This window comes from Homo sapiens, chromosome 8 (assembly GCF_000001405.40).
Source record: "Homo sapiens chromosome 8, GRCh38.p14 Primary Assembly".
NCBI lineage: Eukaryota > Metazoa > Chordata > Mammalia > Primates > Hominidae > Homo > Homo sapiens.
Window position 1 is genome coordinate 23,917,680 of NC_000008.11, and position 21,841 is coordinate 23,939,520.

General features: G+C 41.7%; 1 long non-coding RNA gene across 1 annotated transcript in view, besides 3 other annotated features; it reads left to right on the forward strand.

Annotated features, from left to right (window-relative positions):
• LOC107986931 (uncharacterized) overlaps positions 1-21,841 on the forward strand; it is a 290,196-nt gene that overhangs the window by 347 nt on the left and 268,008 nt on the right. Inside the window, exon 2 of the long non-coding RNA XR_001745844.1 lies at positions 1,022-1,089. This is a non-coding gene — a long non-coding RNA (uncharacterized LOC107986931). The remainder of the gene's footprint in view (positions 1-1,021; positions 1,090-21,841) is intronic.
• Positions 112-648: an enhancer, noted in NCBI's record as "OCT4-NANOG hESC enhancer chr8:23775304-23775840 (GRCh37/hg19 assembly coordinates)". NCBI's record gives its function as "activates a minimal SCP1, AML or CMV promoter by ChIP-STARR-seq in primed H9 embryonic stem cells {active_cell/tissue: H9 hESC(primed)}" and the evidence as "EXISTENCE:reporter gene assay evidence [ECO:0000049][PMID:30033119]".
• Positions 649-1,185: an enhancer, noted in NCBI's record as "OCT4-NANOG hESC enhancer chr8:23775841-23776377 (GRCh37/hg19 assembly coordinates)". NCBI's record gives its function as "activates a minimal SCP1, AML or CMV promoter by ChIP-STARR-seq in primed H9 embryonic stem cells {active_cell/tissue: H9 hESC(primed)}" and the evidence as "EXISTENCE:reporter gene assay evidence [ECO:0000049][PMID:30033119]".
• Positions 3,723-3,993: a silencer, noted in NCBI's record as "fragment chr8:23778915-23779185 (GRCh37/hg19 assembly coordinates)". NCBI's record gives its function as "represses an EF-1alpha promoter that drives an FKBP-Casp9 reporter gene in an ReSE screen in HepG2 liver carcinoma cells {active_cell/tissue: HepG2}" and the evidence as "EXISTENCE:reporter gene assay evidence [ECO:0000049][PMID:32094911]".

A 21,841-nucleotide genomic window follows, 5' to 3' on the forward strand; every position in this document is an offset into this window, starting at 1 on the left:
CACTGTTATTATAATGGAGTCCCGTTGGCATAATGGTAAGGTCTGAAGGGGGAGAAGCATTGTATAATCTTACGATCAGTGCTCAGTCTTTTAGTGGGCCTGTGACGTTCGTGAGGGTTTCTTAGATTTTATTTTCTCACTCTTTATTTGACACATAAAAGTTAGATGGGGCTAAAGCCCCCAGGTGGAATACAGCTCTGAAAACATATTTTCCCTGGGAGAACAGGCTTTTGAAATAAAGAATGCTCTGGGTATACTATTTGATGGTTACTTCTTCTCCCCTCTTGCCTAAGCTAGTCAGGGATCGACTTGGCTCTTTGTAGTGAGAACCTGGTGTAATTCCTCAAGGTAAAACCCATAAAACTGTAGGGCTCCCTCTAAGACTGTGCTCTCAACACTTTCTCACTCTGGCTATTGCACACTCAGCCTGGAGAAAATCACCAAAATGACCATTTACATGTTCCTACTAGTTTATGGCTCCAGCAGCTTCTGCTCTAGGTAGTCAGATCTTGTCCATGAGTCTCTGAATTTGCGTTTTTCTCCAGATTTCAAAAGTTAAAGACATACACTTTGAGTATTTGATTTGAATGGACTCACAGTATGAGCTAGATTTTGCATATGTGTCCTTCTCACATGCAAATCAACCTTGGCTCTAAAACTACACTTGGTTTTCAAGCCTTTTGTTTAGGTTTGTTCTAGGGGTTGTTGCGGGTGGGGGGTGGGCAGCGGGAACAGAAGGAAGATGAGTTTTGCATGATGCTTTGCATTTAATGAATTCTTCAGAATCTGTTTGATTTCTTGGGCTTATGGTAACAAGTTTTTGTAATTACACAGGAGTGCCTGAAAAATCTTATAATTCTTTATACCTGTAATACTTAGTCTATATATGAGATTGGCAGAATAGTAGGAAAGCTATGTTTCTCTTGGTGTTGTTTCCAATAAGTAGAGTGTTTGGTGGTTTAAAACTCTCCATTTATTCTGCTATTTTCTCCATTTTTCTCATGGGATGGACTTAATCCAGGAACAAGGTAAATGGCTGAGCTATTACTGATCAAGATGAAAGGAAGAGAACTGCTCCTCTCTGTTCAGGTCAGTACAGGCTCAAGTCCCCTCCCTTGGGCCATGTGGATGTGTGTTACAGCTACATTTGTTAAACTGAATGACAGTCCTTAAGGGCAAAGCTATACAATCTGTCACCAACTACCATGGTGCATGGTATATCTTAGAATGTAAATCATTCAAAAATACTTTAAAGTCATAAATGATATTTTAATTACAATATGTCAGAAAATAGAGAAAAAGAATAAGCCAATTTATCTCATAATTAATTTTCCCCCTTTTATGCATTTCCTTCCTTACTCCTTTTTCCTATGCATATGTTTCATGTAACTGTAGTCACAGAGCAAACATAATTTGTATCCTGCTTTCTGAACACTGTTCTATTGTTATGAACTGAATTGTGTTCTTCCTTCCCAAATTCATATGCACTAACCTCCAATGTAACTGTATTTGGAGACCAGGTCTTTAAGGAAAGTAACTAAGGTTAATGAGATCTTAAGGGTGAGATACTAATCCTATAGGACTGATGTGTGTGTGTGTGTGTGTGTGTGTGTGTGTAATTTTTTCTTTTTATTTTTGAGAATGTATGTGTGTTTTGTGGTGGATCATAAGGGGTAGAGGAAGGATTGGTGTGAGATCTATGAGAGTGGTTTGTAGTATTACAGACTTCTATTCCTCTCCCTTAGACCTCTGTTGGGTGATGGGAAATTAATGGTATCTGTACCTGTGAAACCTAGAGCGCATCCCGCCCCCAATAAGCCAACGTTGCAGAAGGTACTCTGCTTTCTAGTTTTTATTGCTCCAGGCTCTAGAATTTTGTCTGCAGGGCAACTAATATCTGCATCTACAGCTATATCTAGTTTTTATACTTGGGAAATTTTAAAGGAAGCAATGTGATTAAGTTAGATGACTCAAGACACACTATGAAATTAGAACTATAAATATTTTGGTATACAGTTAACATAAGCATAAAAATATATATTAACAATGAACAGACTGGGGTTCTGTTTCTTTTCAATTAGGAAACTTTTAACTGTAAATGGCTAAGGAAATAGTTTCTGTTTCAGTTCTATCTAATTTCTCTTCTTTTGAATTATCAAGATTTTGATAATTCTCATTAATGCGAGGGAAATGATCAATAGCCAATATGTATAATTAATCAAATTTCACATCTACTGCCAAGTCTTTGTAATGGACTCCTTCAAGAACACTCTGCATCCACCTAAGGTTACTTGTTTATTACTGTGGGAATTATTCCTTCACAGTTTTCTTTGACACACTCTGCAATGAGTGTTGCATGATCTATGTGGAGTATCTGTGCTTTGCATTCGTGTATGTATTTGTGTTCTTCTCCCATCCTTTTAATTCAATGTCTTTGGCAGAAAGAACAACTTCCTGATGGATATTCAAGCTGGGGAGAAATATGCATGTTTCCTAGACATATTTTGTAGCACCTGTTCACCAACACCCCATTCTAAAGGATACTGCTTCATCGTGTCCTATGTTTCCTCACCTGCTTCAACTGCAACTGATTGGGAACATCACCAAAGGGAGAGAGTTGGGAAGCAAAGCCTGGTGTTTTGTTTGCGTAGAGAAATAATGTGTCTTGAAAGTCAAAAGCATGGGTTATTCATTGGATATATTTCTGTGATGAGCTACCGTCTAATAGGGAAAGGGAAAATGTCCGCCTGGCCTGCAGTCTCAGTACAGTGGAATTTTGACAGCAATTTGCAATTAGGTACGAAGCTTCCTTACCAGTATCTAATATTGTTTGATAATAATACCCTTAATGATACTCGGATGCTTTTTTTTTTCGACTTATGGCTTTATGAAAACATCATAAAAGGATTTATTGAGACTGACTGAACCTACATTAAATATATAGTTAACTCAGCATAAAGTGATACAGATATAACCATAAATAATATAATGTTGTTCTATTATTAACACCAATCTCCTGCATGAGAATGAAAAAACTCCTCCTCAAGGGAGGCAAAGAAAAGATGTCTGTCCTGGTCCTGTATGTATCCTCCTCTTCTTCTTTGGTTCTACAACATTTGCCTTCTCTTTTCTAGACCCCATGATATTCTGGGTCCTATGCAGGTCCACCTGGGGATATATGTGTTTTTGTAAATTTGGATTTTGTTTTAAATCACCTCTTGATATGCAATTGATCAAATTTCAGACTTAAAGTACAGATATTATTTAAATTGCCGCTTTGAAATCAGGCAATCTAGGTTTGCATTTTGGTCTCTGTCATGTACAAACTCCATGACCTTAGACATGCTTCTTAACCTCAATCTGTTCATTTCTGAAATGGACATAAGAATATTACCAAATGTATAGGATGGTAATGAGGATTAAATAAGACAGCCTTGCGTTTACTCTCAGTGTGATCTCGGTAATGTTAGCTCCTTATAGCAATCATGCTCACAGTGGATACCTTTGGACAATGCAGTTGCCGTAAGGCAACCACTCTGTGCAATGTAGGCTCAGGGACATTCATTTCTTCTCTAGCCACTGTCAAATGCCTACTGCAGCTGCTTATGACTCAGGAGAGCCTTCTCTCTTTATTGCTTTGCATTCTGTGGCATCTTAGCAGGATAATTGTATTGTTCTTACTTTGGGGAGCAAGAAGACATTTTCCAGGTTAAGTGCAGAATGGGAAAGACTCCTTTCTCTCTCACCTCTTCCCCATACCCACACAGTTGCTGGCTGATTTGTTTTTTCATGTTGCACCTGGCAAACTCACGTTTGGATGAAGTCGCCTGGAGAATTTTGTTCCCTTAGTTGCCCCATACAACATTCAGGCTACATTTGTACTGCTCGAACTACTCATTTATAAGATAAAACAGTCAACACTCTTTTCCACTGAATTAACTGACTTTTACCTACTGTAGGTTTTTTGCAACTAACTGTATCCAGGCAAAATGATGAAGATGATGAGACTTAAGACTGATCCTCTCCCCGGTTCTTGGAGTTTTTCTGTGTTTTTCTGCATCTTTCCTCCACAGATTCCAATAACTGAGCACCATTAAAATTAGATGCATTTAATTTGGCATGTAATTTTGAGTTCATCCAAGCCCCTCAAGATGTATCCTATTCTGATGAAGAAGGGAAGCAGAACTGAAGATTCATTTATACCCAGGAGTTAACATGTTTATCTTCTTCCTTTCTGGGAATAATATCTGCAAGAAACAAAAGGAGATGGCAAGGCTGAAGTAAACCAAGGAAGGAAAGAAATAGGGATGCAGTGAGTGCCTTCTATGTGGCAAGAAATGCTATGTTTGCGCAGCTGCATGATCTCCTGAGGTAGTAGCTCTCAGGCATTTGATATGCAGGATTGGACCTTTTTAAATTTTTTTTGAGATGGAGTCTAGCTCTGTTGCCCAGGCTGGAGTACAGTTGCACAATCTCGCCTCACTGCAACCTCCGCCTCCTGGGTTCAAGCGATTTTCCTGCCTCAGCCTCCCGAGTAACTAGAACTACAGGCATGTGCCACCACGTCTGGCTAATTTTTTGTATTTTTAGTAGAGACGGGGTTTCACCTTGTCAGCCAGGGTGGTCTCCATCTCCTGACCTCATGATCCACCCATCTCAGCCTCCCAAAGTGCTGGGATTGCAGGCATGAGCCACTGCGCCCAGCCAAAATTTGACCATTTTACAGGTGACTCAGACAGATGAAGCAACTTTTCCAAGATAACTCAGCTATTATGTGGCAGAGCTTGGATTTTAGACATCAAGCTTGTGTTTTCAGAGAGACTTGGAAGCACCTCATATCATAACAGCAGGGCAGCTGTCCATGTACTCAGGCTGGCACCAGAGGCCCCAGGAAGACTTGATCTATGGCCACTTCCATAAGGTGAAGTCCTATTTTCTGATGGCGGTTATGGGAGGTAAGATTGGAAAGGGTTAACAGATGGTTTGCAGTTCCTTCAAGAACCCTGCTGACTTTTGTACAGTAAAATAATAATGTTCCAATTTGGAAGCGAATTTTCTACTGTGACACTAATACAGCCCCAGGCTATCAGAGGATTAGATGAGTACAAAGCTGTATGAGCCATCAGCTGTGGCACTGGAGGGTGACTCAGCACGCTGGGCGCTGGGAGGATGGCTGTTAATTGGAACTGGAAAGAAGGAGCCCTGGTTTGGCAGATCGGGTTTAAATGGGTGGATTGTCTGATGGAGACTTTTTCTGTTCTTTTTTGGCTTTGGTTCAATGCATATAGCCAGACTGTCCTGCTGCCAGCTGGACTTTGCTTGAAATGTGTTTCTTTTCTTTCTTTCCTTGCTTTTTCTTTTTTGTCAGTTTGTAGCTCCAGATTCATAAGAGCTTGGGTTAAGTGAGAAGCAGTGGCAATACAGCCAACTTGCATCCTTTGACTCTGAATTCTCTGAGACCCCATTTTACTTTCAAGTTCATTTCCTTCTGCAGTCAGTACTGTCCTGGGCTCCTTCCCTCCTAATCATAGAGCCACTGTTGACTGCAAGTTTCTCCTCAGTGCAGCCCAATTTAGTAAATGTTTATTAGGGAGTTAGGGAGATACAAGGAACAGAGGATGTGCTGGATAAAGACCAGAGTTCTAGTACTGCTCTTACTACTTGGACAAATAACTTGACTGCCCAAAGCCTGAGCTTCTTCCTTTGTAAAATGCAGATTATAAAAATGATATTCACCTGGCAGGTTGGTCTTTAACCTATGCATTTGAGAGGCTACCGTATTAGTCTAATTTCACACTGCTGATAATGACATATCCCAAACTGGGTAACTTATACAGAAAAAGTGGTTTAATGGATTCACAGTTCCACGTGGCTTGGGAGATCTCACAATCATGGTAGAATGCGGAAGATGAAAGGCACATCTTACATAGTGGCAGACAAAAGAGAATGACAGCCAAGTCAAAGGGGTTTCTCCTTATAAAACCATCAGATCTTGGGAGACTTATTCATTACCACGAGAACAGTATGAGGGAAACTGCCCCCATGATTCAATTATCTCCCACTGGGTCCCTCCTACAACACGTGGGAATTATGGGAGCTACAATTCAAGATGAGATTTGGGTGGGGACACAGCCAAACCATATCAGCTCCTATGAAACCAAGTAGTAAAAACTCAGAGAAACTAATGTCTTCTTACTGTTTATGAAACTCAAGAGCCACACTCTCATGAAGTTTTTAAAAATTTTTCCTCAGACAGGGTACCTTTCTTCTTTAAGTTCCTTAGTGTGATGAGATCGCTGTGTGTCTACCTCTTATAATCCACATAGTATAGACAGTAGAGACTGGAGGGCAGGCTTTGGAGATCGACTAGGCAGTGTGACCTTGGGGAAAGTTACTTTGTCTTCCTGAGACTCAATGGCTCAAACTCTAAAATTCATACCTGTCCTGCAGGGTTACTGCAAGGAGGAGAGGCCATAATGCTTTTACAGTGCCTTGTACAGAGCCTTGAGCATAGAAGGGGCCATAAGACCTTTCTGTTTCTTCCACCCCCTTATTTTTATTCTCCTTATCCCCTTTCTCTTAACTAAGTCCAGAAAGAAGAGTTTGCAAAATGCTCTTTGAAAAGGGGTAGGAATTGATTGTTTACTCTTCTCAGGTTTTCTAAATTTTTATTTTATTTTTAATTAACTTTTAAATTTACAATAGACATATAATAATGGTGAATATTTATGGAGTACAATGTGATATTTCAACGCGTGTATACATTGTATAATGATCAGATCAGAGTCATCACTATAGCCATCATGTTAAGCATTCGTCATTTCTTTGTAGCGATAACATTCAACATCTTCTCTTCTAGCTATCTTAAAATATATATCATTTTGTTATTTGCTACAGCCATCCTACTGTGTAATAGAACTCCAGAACTTATTTTTTCTGTCTAACTTTTTCCCATAGTTCACAAAGTTAGGTGATACTTATAAGACTTCCAACAAACAACAGTCCTCTCTACTCCTGATTTCTAGTCCCCACATCAGTTCTAGTAACTCTTTTCTTTAAATGATGGTTAACTCTAGCAATAGATGCAGACAAAATCTATTGACTTCCTGCAGGGAAGATGTGAATTCATCCCTATTTCATCTCCTTCCCCATATACCCCTGTATTAGTTTCCTGTGGCTGCTGTAACACGTGACCACAAACCTGGTGGCTTGAACAACAGAAATTTATCCTTACATAGTTCTGGAGGCCAGAAGTCCAAAATCAGTATCACTGGGCCAAAATCAAGGTGTTGACAGGGCTGCACTCCCTCTGGAGGCTCTAGGGCAGAATCCTTCTTTGCCTCTGCCAATTACTAGGGGCTGCCAGCATTCCTTGGCTCGTGGCCATATCACTTTGCTCACTGACCCTGTCTTCACATTGCTATGCCTCTTTTGTGTGTCTGTCTAATCTCTCTCTCCCTCCCTTTTAAACAATTCGTTCAATTGCATTTAAGCCTTATTTAATAATGCGGGATAACCTCCTCATCTCAAAATCCTTAATCACATCTGCAAAGATGTCGTCCCCACCCCCCTTTTTTTCTTTTATTTTTTTTATGGAGTCTCCTTCTGTTGCCCAGGCTGGAGTGCAGTGGCGTGATCTCAGCTTAATGCAACCTCCACTTCCCAGGTTCTAGCAATTCTCCTGCCTCAGCCTCCCGAGTAGCTGGGATTACAGGTGCCCGTCTCCATGCCTGGCTATTTTTTTTTTTGTATTTTTAGTAGAGATGGGGTTTTTCCATGTTGGCCAGGCTGGTCTTGAACTCCTGACCTCAGGCAACGCAACTGCCTCAGCCTCCCAAAGTGCTGGGATTACAGGCATGAGCCACAGCACCTGGCCCTTTCATTTTTTTCAAATAAGGTAATATTTACAGGCTACGGTGTTTAGGACCTGATATCTTTGGGAGACATTATTCAGCCTTCTATGCATCCTTTATTTATTATGGATTGATTAGATACTTTTATTCAACTAATATTAGTGTTGGCATTCTTATGATTCTGTAAATATTGTTCACAGTTGAATGGTGTAGTATACTGTAAATACGTGTTTTCTTTGAAATAAATAATTTTTAAAATTAGCTTTCCAGGTGCCCTTCACTACATCAGTGTCAATCTTCCCAATAGAATCACTAAACTCCTCTCAATATGTTTATCATAGCCTCTATCACTCTCCCAGTTTTAAATTAGATATTATCTTTCCAGAGCCTCTTCCCACCTGCTCCAGTCTGGACTGGCTACTCTAGTCCTGGAGCTCAGCTGTCAGCCCCAAACTTCTCTCTGCCCTCATCCTAGCTTTCCTTCATTCCGTGACCTTATTAAAGCATCTTTCTTGGATTCAGTGTCTCTTTTCTTCATGGTTTTCTCCTGGTGTTGGTAGAGTAAATCATGCAGTGGCTCTGTGTGCATGAGCGATAACACTTTGGAAACCCTTTTTCACTGAAAATGTATTTAAGCATTTTCTTTGATTGGCAGTTTAAGTATAGACTCAGGATTGTACCAAACAAATCCCAGAATTCTCAGAAGACTTGTCCCCTGGTATCGCTTCTGGTACCAAGTACTCTATCAGCCAGAGTTCAGTCATAAAACAGAAACCACATCACTTATTTTCAGAAGATTAATTTAATATAAGGAAGGTTAAACGGGTGTTAAAGAACTGAGGAAATGAAGATGGGATACTGAGATAACACAAAGCTAGTAACTAGAGGAAGCCATCAGCACACCTATGGCAACAAAAGGAAGGCTTGGGAAAATCAGAACCCAAGAGTTTGAAGAAGGAGCCTCTTGAAGCTGAGATACAGAACTTTGAGGAAGAGGTGAGGCCAACCAGCACTGAGACCCCTGAAGGGTAGCATGAGGTTGGGTTTGGAATTCCAGAAAAGTAAAATACCCAAAAGCTGGAGATCGATCAAGTGCCACAGCCAGGGGAAGGGCTATGACAGAGGTGATGCTGATAGGGATAAAAGAAAACAGGAAAGAGCCTGTCCTTGTTCTCCATCCAGGTTGCCAATCTCCGTCTATACCACCTGTTAACGACTGTACCAGGAAGCCATTGTGCAAGGGAGAAATGCAGCTGGGAGAGTCCCTGCTGTGGGTGGGACGGGGCTGAGGGACAATAGCTTAGTAACTGGCACAATCTCCTTCCAGTTCCTGGTGTTTCTAGAGTTTCAAAAATCTCTGTAACCTTGGTATTATGAAATTTCACATGAAGGGCCTTGCAGTGGATTTTTCTTTTAATCGTTATGCTGGGCATTTGGTGAGTCTTTTAGATCTGAAAACTCTATTCAGTTTTAGAAAAATTTTTTGCATTTCTGCTTTAGTTATTTTACCCCTTCCCCTTTCTTTGTTTCTTTTTCTTTTTCTTTTTTTTTTTTGAGATGGAGTCTCACTCTGTTCTGCCCAGGCTGGAGTGTAGTGACGTGATCTCGACTCACTGCAGCCTCCGCCTCCTGGGTTCAAGTGATTCTCCTGCCTCAGCCTCCCAAGTAGCTGGGATTACAGACATGCACCACCACACAGGCTAATTTTTGTATTTTTAGTAGAGATGGGGTTTCACCATGTTAGCCAGGTTGGTCTCAAACTCCTGACCTTGTGATCTGCCCGCCTCAGCCTCCCAAAGTGCTGGGATTATAGGCATGAGCCACTGTGACTGGCCTCTTTGTTTCTCTTTTTCAGGAGTCCTACTACCTATCTCTTTTACCTCTTGGATTGATTGTATAATTTTCTTATATTTTTGCCTTTGATTTCTTATCTCCTTTTCTTCTTGTTATATATTATTGGGAGATTTTTAAAGACCTTTCTATTCTAATCCTTTCAATTTTATTTATTTTTTTACTTTGTAGAGATGGAGTTTCACTATGTTGCCCAAGCTGGTCTTGAACTCCTGAGCTCAAGCTATCTGCTCACCTTGGCCTCCCAAAGTGTTGGAATTACAGGCATGAGGCACCACACCCAGCCTCCTTTCAATTTACAAAAATATTCTGCTAGCATATTTTTAATTTTTCAAGACTTATTTCTGACTCTTTCTTAAATAGCACCTTTTGGGTTTTTTTTGTTTTGTGTGTTTTTTTTTTTTGCTCTTATCGCCCAGGCTAGGGTGCAATGGTGCGATCTCAGCTCACTGCAACCTCTGCTTCCCGGGTTCAAGTGATTCTTCTGCCTGAGCCTCCCGAGCAGCTGGGATTACAGGCGTCTGCCACTATGCCCAGCTAATTTTTGTATTTTTAGTAGAGACAGGGTTTCACCATGTTGGCCAGGCTGGTCTTGAACTCCTGACCTCAGGTGATCCACCCGCCTCGGCCTCCCAAAGTGCTGGGATTACAGGCGTGAGCCACCACGCCTGGCCAAACAGCACCCTATTCTTGTTTCATAGCTTTCAATCTTGTTCCATTCTTTGTTATATCTCTTATATTAAATATGTTTAAAATTTTCTTTTTCTTCTACATTTCTCTAAGACTTTCCTCAAGTCCTAGATACCCACAAGTCATCCTTTTAAAGGTTGAAGTACTCACAGGTTGAACGGAATAGCTGTGTTGAGGAGGGGTTCCTTGATTTCTGGGTGCCACTATAGGATGCTCAGGTAGGAATCGGGATCATTTGTTGGAGATGAAACTTCAACATCTATAGGTGTTTTATTCCCCCTGCTTGGGCCTATCTGAGAGAGGAGCTCTTTAGTTTCCAGGCTGGGAGCTGTAAACCTGACTGCCACTTTCCTAAGAGTTCTCTAAGGCGATGAAGAGGTGCGAAGCCCACCATTCATTATAAGGACTTACCTAGTGCCCCTGTGTTCAGTGCAGTGTCTCTCTCCTGCTCATAGCTGTGCCTACTATTCCTGTTTCCAGAGCTTACTTGTCTAATTTGTTCAGAGACTAAATCTCCCATCTTCTGCCAGGCTAAGAGATGGCAACATTTGGGCTGTGCAGGCTGATGGTGAAGATCTGGAGGTTTACCTGCTTCTTGCACAGGTTTCCAACCAGTTTTTGTCTTTCTCCTCCCTCTGGGCTCTCACTCTGGCCTTCAGCAGTTCCTGCTGCTACCACCTGCTGAGGCTCTCTGAGGATCCTTCTCCTCCAGGCAGGAAACATGAGAGCATGTCTCTTTCACACCATCCCTAATGCCCACTGAGTCCTGAAAAACCATAAAGTGCAGCAACAACATGACATAGCCCTAACATAGCCCTATTTCAGTTAGAAAAGATGTTATGGGAAGTTTACTAAATACTTGTCTTATTTGAGTGAGGTTTTTTTTTTTTTTTTAAAAAAGGAAAAAAACAAAACAAAACAGGGTCTTGCTCTGTCGTCCAGGCTGGAGTGTAGTGGTATGATCTTGGCTCACGTCAACCTCCGCCTCCCAGGTTCAAGTGATTCTCCTGCGTCACCCTCCCGAGTAGCTAGGACTACAGGCATGCACCACCATGTCTGGCTAATTTTTGTATTTTTAGTAGAGATGGGGTTTCACCATGTTGGACAGGCTGGTCTCGAACTTCTGACCTCAAGTGATCCGCCTTGGCTTCCCAAAGTGCTGGGATTGCAGCACTTTGTGAGTCACCACGCCCGGCCCTGTGAAAAGATTTATAATATAGGCACTCCCAGGGGACTCCTTTGAACTCCACTGAATACACTCAGGGGAACAGGGTGTTGGCAGGTCCCTGACCAATTGTGTGCTACCTACCAAGTCTTTTCTGCCTTACTTTAAGGACCCAGAAGATCCTCCCCTCTTCCACAAAGCCTTCCCGAGCATCCCCATTCACGCATCCATGTTTCTTTCTAGTTCTTACTATCCATGATCACCAGCCCTGGGCTTGCCTGGGGCATCTTCTCTCTTTGCTGTCTAGTGTTACTTATTTATCTGTTTAGACACTTACCTCTTTTGATCCCCAGGGATGATGGGTACTTTAAGGATGGTGGTTCTTGAGTTGCACTTGTTAATATCCCTTGTTCTGTGCAAAGTGTCTTCACACTTACACACACACTCACACACTTATGCACTCACACAAATGCCCTCATTACCTTAAAACAGCAGGCATTTGACTATAAATAATCACCGATGGAGATATTAACATCACATGAATTTAGTTATTCATACTTCGTAAGAACCTTCGCACACTATGTCACTGAAATTTTACAACCAGCTGGGAGGAAGATGTGTTGCACCTTTCTCAAAAGCTGAGAATACAGAGGCTCAGAGAAGTGAGATGACATGCAAGACTCACAGCCAGATCTTTGGATAGACAAATATTCTTTCCCACAAATGATCACTGACCCCTTCACCAAAGGGAGGGCTGGCGGGGCACTCCCTCTGACCCACGTTGCAAAGGGAGAAGGCAGCCCTAGCAGTGAGCTGAGAGAATAAGGTGAGCTGTGATAAAACCAGCCTTGCAGAGCCCAGGTGTCACATCTCCCAGGCTGCTTGAATCACACTTCCTCTCAGACGAATGTGGGATTGTTTTGTCATAAAAACACAAGTACAGTCATAAAACATGTCTTTGTGGGGGGAAAAAAGTTCCCAGGCCTAGGAATGTGTATGTGTATATGTGAGACAAGCTAAGACAGGTGTCCCTCTTCCCTGACCCCAGCCCAGGGCCAGGTGTGATCTCATGCTAACCTACAACACGAGGGAAGCCTTGAAAGGCCACGGGCATCTGATACCCTCCATATCAGGCTTCCAACAGTTTTCCAAAAAGCTTTGCATTCCCCTGGGTCAAGAGCTCTCTCTATTTTTTTTTTCCTCAAAAAACATGTGTATTTCAGCAGAAATTTAATCCCTGGGGCTCCAAGTCCTTCACACTTACATCAGTTAAAATGGCATTTCTGCAGAGACATGTGATCCTGCAGAAGCCTCCAGGGACTGTGCTCAGCTTGGCATCCTTCTCATTTCTTGACCTGAAAACAAAACAAAACAAAAGAGGAAGTCACGTTTCATTTTCAAAATGATCTTGACAAAGTCTTTCCTTCAAGTTGGCCTGGATGGAATTGCCTCTCTTGCAGATCCTTTTGCAACATTGTCCTATTGCTTTGTGTGATGGAAGCAGCTGCCAGGCTCAGACCATGCTCCTGAGCTCGAGCTGCTGGGCTCCTTGAGAGAGCTGCCTTGAGAGATGCTGGGCCTTGCATGAGAATCAGACAAGTTTTCTTTATGGAGGGACCCTAATGTTGATCTTCCAATTACCTCCTCCCTCTTTTGTAGATGAGGAAACTGATACCCAGAGAGAGGAAATGCCTTTCTACAATCACACAGATAATGAGTAGAGATTCCCATTGTTTGAAGACCTAAACTGCCAGACATAGTGCTAAATGTTCTACAGGTATTATCTTATTTACCTATTCAGTAATTCATGAACAAGTCATTATTACCCCCATTTGACTACAGGGGAAATTGAGGCCTTCAGGGATTAGGCACCTTGTGTAAGGTCAGACAGCTTCTGGGGCAGAATGGAGATTAGAGTTCAAGTATCTGATACTGATGTTCATGATCTTACCCAAGTGTACTACAGGGCTCCCATAGGGCATGGAGAGTGGTCTGGAGCAAGGACCCAGGGCTCCTGATGCCTGTCCCATGATATCTTTTATGATTTTGACTTTGAGAATATTTTATAGGCTGGGTGTGGTGGCTCACACCTGTAATCCCAGCAATTTGGGAGGCTGAAATGGGCCAGTCGCTTGAGTCCAGAAGTTCAAGACCAGCCTGGGCAATATGGTAAAGCCCTGTCTCTATAAAAAATAAAAAAGTTAGCTGGGTGTGGTGGTGAACACCTGTAGTCCCAGCTACTAGGGAGGCTGAGGATGGAGGATCAATTGAGCCCAGGAGGTTGAGGCTGGAGTGAGCCGTGATTCTACCACTGCACTCCAGCTGCAGTGACAAAACGAGACCCTGTCTCAAATTTTTTTTTTAAAAAAGAATATTTTATATAATTGCTCAACTTCAGTATGTATGTCTAGCACTTAAAAACTTAAATCTATTTTTGCCTAAGTTTGATATTCTGAGAACTAATACCAGGTGATATTGTTGCCTTAGGTTTTTATTCTACCCCCACGTTAGCCCCTCCATCACACCTCTTCTTTGTCGTTCATGTATTGGTGGCACCCAGTTCCCTCTTCTTTTTAGGAGCAATTTTCAAGAAAGGATCTAATATTGGTGATTTATAACTCAGTGTGAACTTAAACCCATCAGGACCTCTGGTAAGGGTATTGTCTTATCTCTGATGATGAAATGAAGAGACTTCAAGGAAGAGGGAAAGGCAAGGAAATTACATTCAATACTGGCAGCTACTTCATGTCAGATCCTGCCCTAAATTCTGCTCGTAAAACTCTTCCTTTCTCTTACCCCACCTTTTTGCGGATAAGGAAACCGAAGCTTAGGGTGGTTAAGTAACTTGCCTCAGGTCATCATGCAGTGACTTCTATTTACAGGATTTTTTCCACCGTACCATCAGCTAGAAGCTAAGGATTTTGGCGGGGGGTGATAAAGTTGGGGGTGAGGGCTACTTTTTGTCCTTAAATCAATTGTGAGAGGCTGACCTCTACTGGACCATATAGCACTTGAACACCAAAAGGAAGAAACAGTTTTCTTGGCCTCTTGTGATCTTTTCTTATATTTTGGAGATAAATCAACTTAATATACATATGCCAAGTGCTTATAGCATGTGAAATGCTGGACTAAATGCTGAGTGAATTCAAGTATAAATGCATTGGCCTCTGAAAGTCCCACTAGGAATGCATTGCAAGCATCCTATACCCAGCATGGCCTCTGCTTTACCAGGGAGATATTTCCAAACAGCAAAAGGACAATGTTCTCTTCTGGAGGGACTAGAAGATGCAGGTCTAACCAAGGAGCAGCCTTTCTCTAGGTAAACATTCTTCTCATGTCCTATTCCGTGTTTTAGAATATGTGCATCTTCTTTCTGTATCATTCTCTGTCCAATTGTCCTTTCTTTTTCATGCAATATAGATTATTTAAACAGCCACTCTCACTGCGAGTCAAATAAAATGGGTTGGTGACACAGAGAATGGACTCCGACGAATGTTTTATTTCCTTATCTGTCATTCTTATCACTGGCCTTCTCTCCTGTCTCTGGTTACCTTTTTCACTTAGCTGGCCAACTGAGAATTAGATGAAGGATGAAAATAAATTGGCAGATTGCCTTTAGCTGCGAGACAAGGGTTCTTTCTTTCTGTGGTTTAGTTTCACAAAGGGTTTTGTAGGCACTGGAAGTTTTGCTACAAAGCAGCAGGATCTAAAGGCTGCACCCCAGAAGGTTGAATGAAGAGGTCAGTGTCCCTGGCTTCATGCTGCCAGGTTTTGATGTGAGGAACTCACCTGTACCTCTTCTTGTCCTTTTTCTGCACTTGGAAAAATTATCTTTGAATTACAGTAGATTATGATCATTATTACTTTATGTTTGATTTGGAAATAAGTTAGTCTTACTAAAGAATGTGGCTGACTGGGGTTGTATAGTTCATAGTCTGGATGGGATCACAGAGCTGCTCAAGATCATGTACAAAATCACTCTGCATCTAAAAGAAGCAGTTTTCTATTAATTTATAATGTTTTTATTATGCTTTTCTTATTACACGAGTATTTCATGCAGAAAATTTGAAAAGTACAGATAAGTGACAAATAAATACATAAAAACCACTTGAATCCTGTCACCTAAAGATATCCACTGATAACATTTTATATTATCCTTTAGGCTTTTTAAATACATATTTTAACATAGGCTGTATTATACTGTTCACAGAATTTTTAAATTGCTTTTTCTCTCAGGAGCATAACAGAATATCTTTCTATGTCATAACAATCTTCTACAATATCATATTTTGTGGTTGCCTAGTATTTTGTCATATAGACATATCATAATTTATTTAAGTCTTTCCTTTTTTAGGGTTATTTAATTTATATCCAATATTTGGTTCTGTTTAACCCTTCTGCCCTAAACATCTTTGTTGCTAAGTCTCTGTGCACATTAATAATTTATTCTTTAGGATAAAAAAATGCGAGTACAAAAAGTTTAAGGGTTTTGATATTTGTTGTCCAATTGACCCCCCAAAAATGGTATTAATAGATATGTCTGCTCATTGAATTACACCTGGAACAATAGTTGCAGTAAACTATTTAAAAATTTTGCCAATTTGACAGATTAAAATAGTGTCACGTTATGTACTTAAATTTTCTCGATTACTGAAATGAAACAGTTTTTGGATTTGTACAATAGACTTACTGATTTCCTAACCCATAAATAGCTCTTTATTTCCATTTGTATATATCTACATATCCAAGTATTACTATACAAAGCATGGGCTCTGGAGACACACTGTCTGGGGTCCAGGACAAGCTCTGACACTTTTTGTCCTGCTTAGAAAGGCCTAACCCCAAGACTATATGAATATTAACTCCTATTTTTTTTTTTCCAGATACTTTTTGGTCCCATTTTCTACTTATCTGCATTTTGAAAGCTGTATTAGTGGCTGTGCTGGTTGTTCTGTTTGCTCCATCAGAACCATTTCCGCTCCTTTCCCAGTCTGCTCGGTGCCATGGGGGGGTTGCAAGAATGTTCTGCCTCAATGGGCTGCCTTGCCTGCTGGCTTTTGGTTGGGTCCAAGAAATGCATGGCAGAGAAAGAAAAGGAGGAGTCTGGAACACTAGATTGTAGAGAGCAGCAGCATGTGCTGAGCTGAAGGGTCCGGATTTAATTCTGTGCTCGGTGGGCAACTGTGAAGAGTTTTAGGTGGGAAAGTAAGATGATCAAAGATCAAAGTGATCAACAAAAAATAGTTAATTTGATGGCATCGAGTAGGCTTGAAGACAGGAAGGCCCATGAGGAGGGCAAGGATTGCAGCAAAGAGGTCGAACTTGCAAATGTTGACTGTGAGTGATGAAAATAACAAAACACTAACTTAGACATTTCCAGAGAAAATGGTCTTGGAAATGGGTATTTTAGGTGTAAGGAATTGAGTAGTAACACTGTTAGTAAATCATCTTTGACCCCTGCCTTCAGCCCTTCTAGAGTGAGATTCCACATGGATCTTTGCAGGGAGACCCTACCTGGCCTAATAAAGAGAATGGCCTTCTTTGTCATGCCACTAAAGCCGAACAATATTTCTGCGTTTTTTTTCTATTTTGTTTGATCCTGGGTCTTGGAATTTTGTAATTTCTTGAAAACTTAAAATAATAATAGCTAATTTCATCGAGTACTTTTCTCCCCTTCTCTCTTATTTTTTTAGCATTAACATATTATTCCACTTAATATTTCTAACTGGCCTAAAAGTTATTGCATAATCAGTTGGAAATATGAGTTGGGATGCAGCCTGGAATAGGGAAGAGCCTGGGTCTGGTGCAAGCAAAGCTGCTTCCAAGCAAAATGGGGCAGCCCACAGATGGCACAGCCTGCTCAAGCCTTGTCTTTCGGTAACTTCTTTATCCTCTAAATCCTTTTCTCGAAAACATGACTTCATCTGGGGACAGTATATGAGAAGTTGGGAAGGAGTGGGAATTTCGTCCCTGAGAGATATGATAGATTTGGCCCTCTTTGCCATTGGCACTACTTCCTCTTGGGCATTTTCCGAGATAATTGTTTTGGTCTGATAAGTTAGCAATGGTAATTGTATTGAAAATTCACCTTGGCAATGACTTTACATATTGTGTAATCCAATCTCTTCACTGTGCCAACAAGGAAACCAAAATTCAGAATTCCATTTTTCTATTCTCTTTGGTCTCCTCGCACTGGAAATCCCTTAGTTTCTGTGAAACAACTCTATTATTAGTTATGTGCCACATAACAATGTTTCAGTCAACAATGGACTGCATGCACTATGGTGGTCCCATAAAAGACCATGTTTTTACTGTATCTTTTCTAAGTTTAGATATGTTTAGGTGCGCAAAGACTTACCACTGTGTTACGGTAGACTATAGTATTCAGTATAGCAACATGCTGTACAGGTTTGTAACCTAGGAGCAGTAGGCTATACCATATAGCCTAGGCATGTAGTAGGCTACACCATCTAGGTTTGTGGAAGTTCACTGTATGATGTTTGCACAACATTGTCTAATGCTGCATTTCTCAGATCTATGTTGTTAAGTGATGCATGACTGAATTTGGATACCTTGGAGGTGCCTGGTAAAATGTGACAACCGCCATGACAAGCCTGTGACTCTCCTCTGGCTCTTTGGTGATCTTCCCATGTTCACAGCACCCATTACATATTTTATATTTGCTTTTATTTCTGAGGGAGTTGATTTTGATGTGGACTAGAGCGTGCTCGGGGTTACATAGGGAGCAAGTGTTCTTTGCTCAGTGGGGTTCAATAGATGAAGTGGAGGAGGAGATGCAACTGTGATCTGTGGGACAAGAAAGCAAGAATTTATCTGAAAAGACCACACTGGTCCTTCCACGTAGCAGAAATTCTGCAGGATTAACTGGTTTTCAATAGAAAACACTTACAGGACTGCAATGCTATTCACTTTCTCATGGTTTTAAATTTTCTTCTTTGTAGATTTCTTTATTCTCTGAATTTTATGCCATGAATGTCTTCCTTTGGTGTTCAGAGACATTTATGTATCTGTATCTACCTCTCTATTGTAATTTCTAAAAGAAGGCCAAATGCCTGGGGAGATCAGCTCTGAGAACTTTGCGCGGGAACTTTCAAGAAGATTGAAAGTGAAGTCCTAAATGGAATTTGCTAAACGTTCTTGAGGAAGCAACCTTGGAAAAACCGTTCTGTGGTCAAATATATTTGGAATGGTGTATTCCAGCCCCTTTGTGGAGACTCATAATGCCCGTGAAAATCTCTGAAACTTTCTGGAGGAAAAGGCAACAAAAATGAAACAATGCAAGATTCTGTCTAAATCTCTTCAACACAGTGTTTCTAAACTTATGGGACTTGATACTCATTTTTTTGTGTCTCAACATTTTAACAGGAACAATATTCTGTGAACCATACTTTGGGAGAACTACTCTTGAAGGAGTCCTATAACAGCTTTTTTTGAAGCTGTTTACTTGAAGCCCGTGGGTCTCAGGATAAGCCTGCCAGGGGCCGGAGACAAACCCGATTGTGATGTCTCTTCTTTACTCTATTGGTGTGTAGGTGAGCACCAAATAAGGTAAGTAGTAGGACTTGCCTTGAAGAAGAAAAGAAGTCCTAAAAGCACACAATTTGGGGTAGGAGGGGGAGGTGTCTTAGTGGGAGGTTGTCAGACTTATGGCCTGGAGGCAGGGTCTACACATACCTCAGTGTAGCTGGGATAGGGCTTCCTCTTCCCTTCTCTGTGACTGGCTTCTTTTTTTTTTTTTTTTTTTTTTTTTTTGAGGTGGAGTTTCTCAATTGTCGCCCAGGCTGGAGTACAATGGCACAATCTTGGCTCACTGCAACTTCCACCTCCTGGGTTCAAGCGATTCTCCTGCCTCAGCCTCCTGAGTAGCTGGGATTACAGGTGCCTGCCTCCATGCCCAGCCAAGTTTTTGTATTTTCAGTAAAGACAGAGTTTCACCATGTTGGCCAGGCTGGTCTCGAGCTCCTGAACTCAGGTCATCCACCTGCCTCGGCCTTCCAAAGTGCTGGCATTACAGGCGTGAACTACTACATCCAGCTTTGTGACTGACTCCTTGAGTTACCACCTAGGAGCTTGGCTGTAGCTGTTCCCTGGCTAGGATGGTGGCTGCTGTTCTCTGTTGGAGGCCACAGAGAAGTGGGATCTGCAAGTACTCTGAGTCCACCCTAGGTGTGCGGCACTGTTCCAGGTGCCCAGGAACCACACAAAGAGACAGACAGCCTCACTCTTACCTTTCTCAGCTAACAATGTAGTTGAGATATGGCATATACATCCGAGGTATCAGAAAACATAAGATTGTGATTGCATGCTTTGTCATGTGATATAGATTTTAAGGTATTGTAGGCTTCTGGGGAAGTAGAGGACATCTACAAGCCAGGAAGGGTTAGGAAAGACTTTCCTAGGGTGTAGGTAGAAGTAGGGTTGAAGAAATGAATCGAGTTTGAAAAGCTGGAGGTGAAAGGTAAGGCCACTGGACCAGGGAACCCATGTAGGGGATGGTGCAGAGCCCAGGGGGAACACAGGATTTGTCCTGGGTGGTATTAGCAAGTCTCGTTAAGAAGTCTCAGTCCTCCCCAAAAGGTGTTACACTTGGTAGAGTTTTTCAGTCAGGGATGCGACTTGAGCATCTTCTTCGTGAGGTCTTACTTGATTACCCCAGTGTCTTCCCTGACTGGAATGGGGTTATGGTGGAGTAACCCATTTGTTATTCACAGTTGCTGGCTTGTTTATTCATTCTGCAAGTACATCTGACAAGATGGCCTGATTAAGCCTATGAACTCTTTGAAGGCATGAACCACGATGGTCTTGTTTCCCTCTCTCCTCCTACCCATTTGCCTTCAGCAAGGCTCAGCACAGGGAATGAGCTCAGTAAGTGTCAGCTGGTGGATCCATTGGATTCTGATGAACACTTCTTGCTTAGAGCACATGTCATCTGTCAGTGCTCTCATTTCACTGGGGTTGGAAAAGGAGCAAGGAAAACCAGTGTGTACTCCAAGATTGCACAGTCTCAGGGTGCTGTAGAGCCTTATCTAAAATTTCACTCTCTTTTGAGGTTTAAGAGGTCCTTGCCTGCTTAGTTCAGTGTCACTGTAAGCATTTACTGGAGCACTATTTTCAGTCCAGTTTGAGGGCGTGTGTGTGTGTGTGTAGAGGTGGGAGTGGGAGGGGAAGAAGATAGTGCAGAGATGTTGATAACATTAGTCCTAGTCTCAAGATGTTCGCATTCTGGTAAGGAGAACCAGACTGAGAACTATCATCTGTAACGTAGTTGCCAACCTTTTGGAGTGCTGGGAAAGGAGGGGCCCATTCAGTTCCTTGTAGATTCTTACCCATTTTTCGGGAACAAGGAGTTGGAGTCTATTGTGTTGTGTTCTGCAGAAGCTGTCTTTCTTATTGATGCGGACTAGCCTGCCAACCACCCTAGGCCATATTCTCTCTCTTTCTACCCCAGGGCAGGGACTGGAAGGTTCTTTAGCTCTGCCAATTTCAGAGCAGACCCTGTACCTCCAGGCACAGTCCACCAGATGGTGCAAAACAAATGAAACACTCATCCTGGTCTGTCCAGCTTATCAAACCCAAAATTGGGCAGCAGAGGAGAGAACTTTCTTTCCTGGAATTTTCCACTTCTGAGTTCAGCCAGAATGGTATGAAAATGCACAACTTAGACTTGAATACGAAGTTTGGAGTAGCTTTAGGGATTACAAACATTTGTGCGCGCACACCTCCTGTGTGTGTTTGTGGTGAGATCTTATATGTAAGCAGAAAGGAGGCATTTGCCTATGCGTGATTGCCAGGAATCTGGGAGACCCCCTACCCTCACCCCTAATATTCTTTCACCTCCTGGCTCTAAGCTAAACTTCCATGCCACAAAGTCATAAAGGTTTTAAAGTGTTAACATCCTAGGGAAAAGTCATAATAATGCCTCATATTTATTTAGAGCCTTGCATGCACCTTCATATATATTGTTTCATTAGAACTTCATACCAACCCTGGAAAGCAGGTAATGCTGCTATATTCACTTTTTAAATGAAGAAACTGAGAGACAGAGACAGTACAACAGGTCCCCCAGTTTACACACTTGGTCAGTGCTAGAGCCGCTAGATCAAATGGAGAACGTCAAGGGTTGAATCTCCTTCTATTTTTCATTACTCTGGGATGAATTCTCTCTTTCAATGACTAGAATCCAGTTTTTTAAATAAATAGATTGTGAGAGGGAGAAAGAGTAGAAGAGCTGAGGGAGCTGAGCTCTTTACAGAGGAAAGAA